The sequence below is a fragment of the Homo sapiens genome, chromosome 13 (genome assembly GCF_000001405.40).
Source record: "Homo sapiens chromosome 13, GRCh38.p14 Primary Assembly".
In the NCBI taxonomy this organism is placed as follows: domain Eukaryota; kingdom Metazoa; phylum Chordata; class Mammalia; order Primates; family Hominidae; genus Homo; species Homo sapiens.
In genome coordinates, this window is record NC_000013.11 from 31,662,459 (window position 1) to 31,670,346 (window position 7,888).

The 7,888-nt window shown below is 37.9% G+C and overlaps 2 annotated features.

Moving 5' to 3' along the window:
- Positions 1,010-1,567: an enhancer, noted in NCBI's record as "OCT4-NANOG-H3K27ac hESC enhancer chr13:32237605-32238162 (GRCh37/hg19 assembly coordinates)". NCBI's record gives its function as "activates a minimal SCP1, AML or CMV promoter by ChIP-STARR-seq in naive and primed H9 embryonic stem cells {active_cell/tissue: H9 hESC(naive and primed)}" and the evidence as "EXISTENCE:reporter gene assay evidence [ECO:0000049][PMID:30033119]".
- Positions 1,568-2,123: an enhancer, noted in NCBI's record as "OCT4-NANOG-H3K27ac hESC enhancer chr13:32238163-32238718 (GRCh37/hg19 assembly coordinates)". NCBI's record gives its function as "activates a minimal SCP1, AML or CMV promoter by ChIP-STARR-seq in naive and primed H9 embryonic stem cells {active_cell/tissue: H9 hESC(naive and primed)}" and the evidence as "EXISTENCE:reporter gene assay evidence [ECO:0000049][PMID:30033119]".

The following is a 7,888-nucleotide window of genomic DNA, read 5'->3' on the forward strand; positions in this document are numbered from 1 at the left end:
TTTACTTTGAGCCTGTGGGTGTCATTACATATGAGATGGATCTCTTGAGGGCAGTAGATGGCTGGGTCTTGTTTGTGTATCCATCTTGCCACTCTGTGACTTCTAAGTGGGATTTTTTGGCCATTTACATCCAAGGTTAGTATTTTTTTTTTTTTCTTTTTGAGATGGAGTCTCTCTCTATAGCCCAGGCTGTGGTGTGATCTCAGCTCACTGCAACCTCTGCCTACCGGGTTCAAGCAATTCTCCTGCCTCAGACTCCCGAGTAGCTGGGATTACAGGTGCACGCCACCATGCCCAGCTAATTTGTGTATTTTTAGTAGAAACGGGGTTTCACTATGTTGGCCAGGCTGGTCTTGAACTCCCGACCTCAGGTGATTTGCCCACCTTGGCCTCCCAAAGTTAGTATTGATTTGGGAGGTCAGGACTCCGGCCTGTGCCCCGCCTCAAGGATAGTATTGATATGTGAAGTTTTGTTCCCATGATGAAGTTGTTAACTAGTTGCTTTGTAGTTTCCATTGAGTACTTGCTTTATAGGATCTGTGGGCCATACACCTAAGTGTGTTTCTGTTGTTAATCACCTCATCAAACTTCTCTGCAAGGAAAGGCAGTATAAATAAAAAATTTTCAAAAGTTAAATTTCTGTGATCAAGATTACATGCTTATGATGTTATCACAATAATTCGAGGTAAATGGTTGATTAAAGCAACATAAATATATTACTAATTTGACAAACAACTATTGACGATAAAAAGTAAAACTTTATTGTAAAATAACCTTTAATTAGATAGCTGGGCCCTTCTGTTTTTAATTAATTCATATATTCATGCATTAATATAATCCTAAAATGAGACAGAGTTTAGCATCAATTCTATTTTCCATTTTTTTAGATGTAAACTCCAAGAAATTCTATTGCATAAACAAATAAATGGGAGTTGAAGGTTTTCTTTTTGTAAATAACAATGATGACTCTGAATTTTTTTCCAAATATATGCCAAAATTTATACAGTAGTCAAGTATCAAATATTTTTTCAAAAGTGTCAGAATGTTGATAACTTTTGAAACTAGATCATGGGCTTGTATGGATTCCTTATAAGTTCTCACTACTTTTTTGTACGCTTGACAATTTTCATAATACAATATTTTTTAATTTGTGATCTATTCATGATAACTTTATTAGATTTTCTTTAAATTTTCTTGAAAGCAAAGAATTGGAAACCTACTGGCTTGCAAAATGATTCATTACTTAGCCATTAGAATCATTTATTTTCCCAAGACAAAAACAATCAATATTTTCAATTATTCTATTGTTCAGCATTCTTAAGATTTTTATACCTCGGGGCAATTAACACATCATTTGGTCAGGTGGAAGTTATGTATTTCTTTTGTAAATATGAAGAAGGGCAATTATAAAAGGAAGAAGGAAAAGGAGCTACCTCTCATCATCGGGTTGTTCTGGGCAGATTAATTATAGGGGATGGCACATTATAAAGGATGAAAATATTGTCATTTCTTTAAACCCTCCTCCCCTGGAATGGCTTTAAGCTCCTGGGTCTTTGCATAATAATTTGAAGACTGCTGATCCAAGCTACATTTCTCTCCCCATCACATACCACCCTTTATCTGTGTTTGTTTGCATTAGTATAGGAGCTTTGTCTTTGTAATTAGAAAGAGACTGAGGTGCTTTATTTGAATGAAAATCCTGATGTCTCTCCCAAAGCAAACACTTCCACTGGATTTGATATTTTAGGATTGAAGGGATAAGGGCTAAAAACTTTTCATGAGACTTTGTGAAACTCCTGGTAATAGGGTGAACAAAGAAGGGCAGAGGCTAATATGGGACTCTTTATTACAGATGTTACAGACTTTGTGAGACCCCAGGCACCAACAGAGCTCCTAGACTCAGATGTCAAAAGAGGTCAAAGAGAGAGAGTTAGAACCCATGTCAGAGCAGCTAGCTTTGGGAGCCACTAGAAATGTCATCTTCAGGAGGGTCATTGTAAGTTTTAACTTGGGTGGTAAGTGGGGCATGAAGACTTAAGCCATTGTCATATTGTCATTATGTAAATTTTGCTTCATTTTGTAATCACAGCTTATTAATGCCTGGACTTAAAGAGTTATTCTAAGAAAATGAGTTTCATCAAAAATGGAAATATATTGTAGTGTTTCTTGGAAATGTAAGAATTCTCAGGCGGCTCAGCACCATCCTGGGGAAGGCATCTACCTTTCTCTCAATGAGAAAAGTTCTAATTTTAATAGTTTTGTATACTGAGTCTTTACGTAAGATTTCATCTGGAAGAAGGGTTAGTTCTACTTCTATTTTGTTTAAAGAAAAGAACATGAGTTTTGGAATCAGGCCTTTATGTCTAACCTTAGGGAAGTTATGTTAACTCTTTTGACCTTTGGTTATCTGTAAATTGGAAACAGTTATACATCTCCTTCAGTGCTGTCATCTTAGGTTGTTTTATAAAGTTTAACAAATTATAAGAGCAGAAGTAAATTTAAAATATCCCCTTATAGGTATAGATTATTGTATCAGTCTGTTTGCATTGCTATAAAGAAATACCTCAGGCTGAGAAATTTATAGAGAAAATAGGCTTTTTTGGCTCACGGTTCTGCAGGCTGTACAGGAAGCATGGCACCAGCATCTGCTCCTGGTGAGGCCTCAGGAAGCTTACACGACAGAAGGCAAAGGGGAGCCAGCATGTCACATGGCAAGAGAGGGAGCAAGAGAGATGCCAGGCTCTTTTAAACAACCAGCTGACACATGAACTAAGAGCAAGAACTCACTCATCACTACGGTAATGGCAGTAAGCCATTCATGAGGGATTCACCCCCATAATCATCAGACCATATCCCACTAGGCACCACCTCCAACGCTGGGGTTCACATTTCAACATGAGATGCAGGGGACAGAACATCCAAACCATATCAGTTAGCAATTACGAAGCTATTTTACATGCATCTAGGGTTAAACAAATAAGTAAATCTATTGCAGATAATGAGTCAGATTTATCACTGTAAGAGAAAAAAGTTACAAACCCTGTGGAAGTATCAATGTGAACACACGGTTTAACAGATGGATGGATGGATGGATGGATGGATAGATACAGATGTATATTTTCACATGGTTTAGTATTCATACATTTATTCCACAGCTCTGTCTGCTGAGACTCTCAAAAACCAGTGACACTCCAGTAGCAATGAACACATCTAGTGCACAGATCTTGGTTTCTGAATATGATTCTTCAATAAAAAGAACTGGGGTGCCTTGTAGAAGTGGTTCATTCCAGGGCTGAGGCAGGGGCTCTTCAAGATAAGCCTGGAGAATCTTGTGGTGCCAGAAAATAAGGAAGTACTAAGACAAGAAAATTGTGGTAGAGGATTTGGCATATCAAAGGAACAGAAGAGCTAGCCTGAAGGAGCCCTCTATGGCCAAATCTGGAACAATTTGAGTAACAAAATAAATAACAATAGTACTGGATTAAAACCCAAAGAATAAAATGAATATTTATGAATCAAATGGACATAAATAAGTGATTGTATAAGTAAATAAAAGGGAGAGAAAAGACAACTCTTTCTTTCTTTCTTTTTCTTTTTCTTTTTTTTTCCCCAGACGGATTCTCACTCTGTTGCCCAGGCTGGAGTGCTGTGGCACCATCTCGGCTCACTGCAGGCTCCACCTCCCGGGTTCATACCGTTCTCCTGCCTCAGCCTCCCGAGTAGCTAGGACTACAGGCACCTGCCACCACGCCCACCTAATTTTTTTGTATTTTTAGTACAGACGGGGTTTCACCGTGTTAGCCAGGATGGTCTCGATCTCCTGACCTCGTGATCCGCCCGCCTCGGCCTCCCAGAGTGCTGGGATTACAGGTGTGAGCCACTGCTCCCAGCCAAGAAAACTTTCTTTTTCTTTCTTTCTTTCTTTCTTTCTTTCTTTCTTTCTTTCTTCTTTCTTTCTTTCTTTTTTTTGAGAGGTAGTCTCGCTCTGTCACCCACGCTGGAGTGCAGTGGTGCCATCTCTGCTCACTGCAAGCTCCGCCTCCCGGGTTCACTCCATTCTCCTGCCTCAGCCTCCAGAGAGAGTAGCTGGGACTACAGGCGCCCGCTTCAATGCCCGGCTAATTTTTCTATTTTTAGTAGAGACAGGGTTTCACCGTGTTAGCCAGGATGGTCTCAATCTCCTGACCTCGTGATCCGCCCGCCTCGGCCTCCCAAAGTGCTGGGATTACAGGCATGAGCCACCGCGCCCAGCCAGAAAACTCTTTAAGGAAGCACTCCCATTACTAAATGTAGAAGGAATGATGGGTATAGAAATTCACCATTAGGCTGGGCACCACGGCTCACGCCTGTAATCCCAGCACTTTGGGAGGCCGAGGTGGGTGGATCACCTGAGGTCAGGAGTTCCAGACCAGCCTGACCAACGTGGAGAAACCCCGTCTCTACTAAAAATACAAAATTAGCCAGGTGTGGTGGCGCGTGCCTGTAATCCCAGCTACTCGGGAGGCTGAGGCAGGAGAATCGCTTGAACCCGGGAGGTGGAGGTTGCGGTGGGCGAGGGTGAGCTGAGATCGCGCCATTACACTCCAGCCTGGGCAACAAGAGCGAAACTCTGTCTCAAAAAAAAAAGGAAAAGGAAAAAGAAATTCACCATGAGAACATAAAAGAAATAATTTCTGCAGGCAAGATATGCTAATGGATGCTAAAATTAATGGGCACAAGTTTAAAAAGAAAGAGGATATTTGCATAGTGTCAAAGTATTTCCCCTCAAATATTTATTCATTATAAGCGGAAAAGTAGTAATTTTACAGTGGAGAAACCTGGAAAACACCATCTTGGCCGAAACATTGTGGGGTGTTTGAAAATGAGTGAGAGTGTTTTTGTCTTAGTTTGTGGTGGGGTGGTGAATATTGCCATATTTAGTTTAAAAATGCCAAGGATGCAATATATTCTACAGCAAGTGGAACAGCAATGCATGATAAATTGTACTGCATTTTGCACAATTCTCAGATGTGCAATCATGTAGATGGGATCCTTGTGGAAGTGAAAAGCCTTTTTATAGTCTTTAGTTATCTAAGCTTACTCTGTTTTATATAAAAACAATGTATTTTTGCATGATGTTAAAATTCATTTAATGCAACTGCTATATAAATTAAGGAAAGATTGTGTTTTGTTTACTAATCAAGAGTTATTTGTTTCGGAAAATTGCATCACCGATGGTAATTTTGAGTGCTTATAAAAGATTGGTCTACGGTCATTCTATGTTTCAGTGCAAGTATACAAGCACTTCAAGTCTTCTAGTATAGCTGTTCCTGAGCATTTATATGTTGAATTACATAGCCCTGATTATAAAGTACCTACCTTCATTTCTCATTATATTATGATTAGGTATTATATTGAATTTGTTGAATATACACATGTTGGCAGATTATCATCTCTGGGAATTTCAGTTCAGGATTACAGAAAAGGGGTAAAAATATTTTTAAGAGTGGTTTGATTAACAAATGGTCCTGGGCCAACTGGATATACAAATGCAAAAGAGCGAATTTGGATCCCTACCTCACACTATATACAAAAAAGAACTCAGAATGGATCAACACCTAAATCTACAAGCTAAAACTATAAAAATCCTAAAACATGCACAGGGGTAAATCTTCGTGACCTTGGATTTGGCAATGGATTCTTAGATATGAAACCAAAAGCATAATCAATGAAAGAAAGAAAATAGATATATATGACTTATCAAAATTAAAAAATCTTGTGCATCAAAGGACATTATCAAGAAAGTTTAAAAAAGTACAGAATGGGAGAAAATATTTGCAAATATATATCTGATAAGGTTTTAGTATCTAGAGCATGTAAAGTACTCCTGCAACTAATCAACCACAAAATTAACAACACCAATAAAAAGTGGGCAAAGAACTCAACTGGACATTTCTCCAAAGAAGATACACAAGTGAACAACAAGCATATGAAAAAGTGCTCAACATCATTATTAATCCAGAAAATTCATATCAAAACCACAATGACATAGCATTGCAAACCTATTAGGATGGCTATTTTTTTCCATTTTTAAATTGCAGTAAAATACACACAACATAAAATTTACCATCTAACCATTTTAAGTAAACAGTTCAGTGTTATTAACTGCCATTCATATTATTGTACAACTGTCACCACCATCCATCTCCAGGACTCTTTTCATCTTCCAAAACTGAAACTTTATATCCATTAATATAAAGTTCATTCCCCTTCTCCTCTGCCCCTGCAACTACTATTCTACTTATGTCTTTATAAATTTGACTACTCTAAGTACCTCAAATAAGTGGAATCATACTGTATTTGACTTTTTTGCGATTGGCTTATTTCATTTAATGTGGTACCTTTGTGGTTCATGTTCTTGTAGCATGTGTCAAAATGTTCTTCCTTTTAAAGGCCGAATAACATCCCATCGTATGTATAGACTCCATTTTCCTTACTCTTTTATTCATCAATGAATACTTGGGTTGCTTCCACCTTTTAGCTATTGTGAATAATACTGCTATAAACATGGGTGTACACATATTTCTTTGAGACCATACTTTTATATACCTAGAAGTGGAATTGCTAAATTATATGATAATTTTATTTTTACTTTTTTGAGGAACCACCAAACTGTTTCCCACAGAGGCTGCACCATTACATATTCCCACTAACAATGTAGAAGTGTTTCCATTTCTTCACATCCTCACCAGCACTTGTTACTTTCTTTTTTCTTTGATAGTAGCTTTCTTTCCGTTTATTAATGTTTTATTTCTTTCAGCAAATTTTGTAGTTTTCATTGTACAAGTCTTTCACTTCCTTGGTGAAGTTAGTTCTTAAGTATTTCCTCATGGGTGTAAGGTGGTATCTCATAATAGTTTTGATTTGCATTTCCCTAATGATTAGTGATACTGAGCATCTTTTCATATGCTTATTGGCCATTTGTATATCTTCTTTGGAGAAATGTCTATTGAAGTTCTTTGCTCATTTTTGTATTGGGTTAGTTTTTCTATTGTTGAGTTGCAGTAGTTCTCGCTACATAGTCTGGATTTTAATCCCTTATCTGACATACTTGTAAATATTTTCTCCTTTGTTGTAAGTTGCCTTTTTACTTTTTTTTATTTTTATTTTTTTGAGACAGAGTCTTGCTCTGTTGCCCAGGTTGGAATGCAATGCAGTGGCGCAATCTCAACTCACTGCAGCCTCCACCTCCCAGGTTCCAGCGATTCTCCTTCCTCGCCTCCCTAGTAGCTGGGATTACAGTCATGCGCTACCACACCTGACTAATTTTTGTATTTTTAGTAGAGATGGGGTTTTGGCTGGTCTCGAACTCCTGACCTCAGATGATCCGTCCACCTCGGCCTCCCAAAGTGCTAGGATTGCAGGTGTGAGCCACCATGCCCGGCTTGCCTTTTTACATTGTTCAAGTGTCTTTGGGTGCATAAAATTTTTAATTTTTATAAAACCAAATTTTCTGGGTTTTTTTCCTTTTCTTGCCTGTTATTTTGGTGTCATATCTAAACAATCACTGCCAAACCCAATGTCAGGAAGAATTTGTCCTATGTTTTCTTCTAAGTTATTTTTAATTGACAAATACAAATTGTATATATTTATGGTGTACAGCATGATGTTTTGAAATATGAATACATTGTGGAATGGCTAAATCAAGCTAACTAATGCATATTTTACCTCACATAGTTTTCTTATTTTGTGTGGTGAGAACACTCAATATCTACTCTTTCAGAAATGTTAAAGTATACAATTCATTGTTATTAACATAGTCATCATGTTGTACAATAGATCTCTGGAACTTATCCTTCCTATCTAACTGAAATGTGGTATTCTTTGACCAACATCCCCCCAACTCACA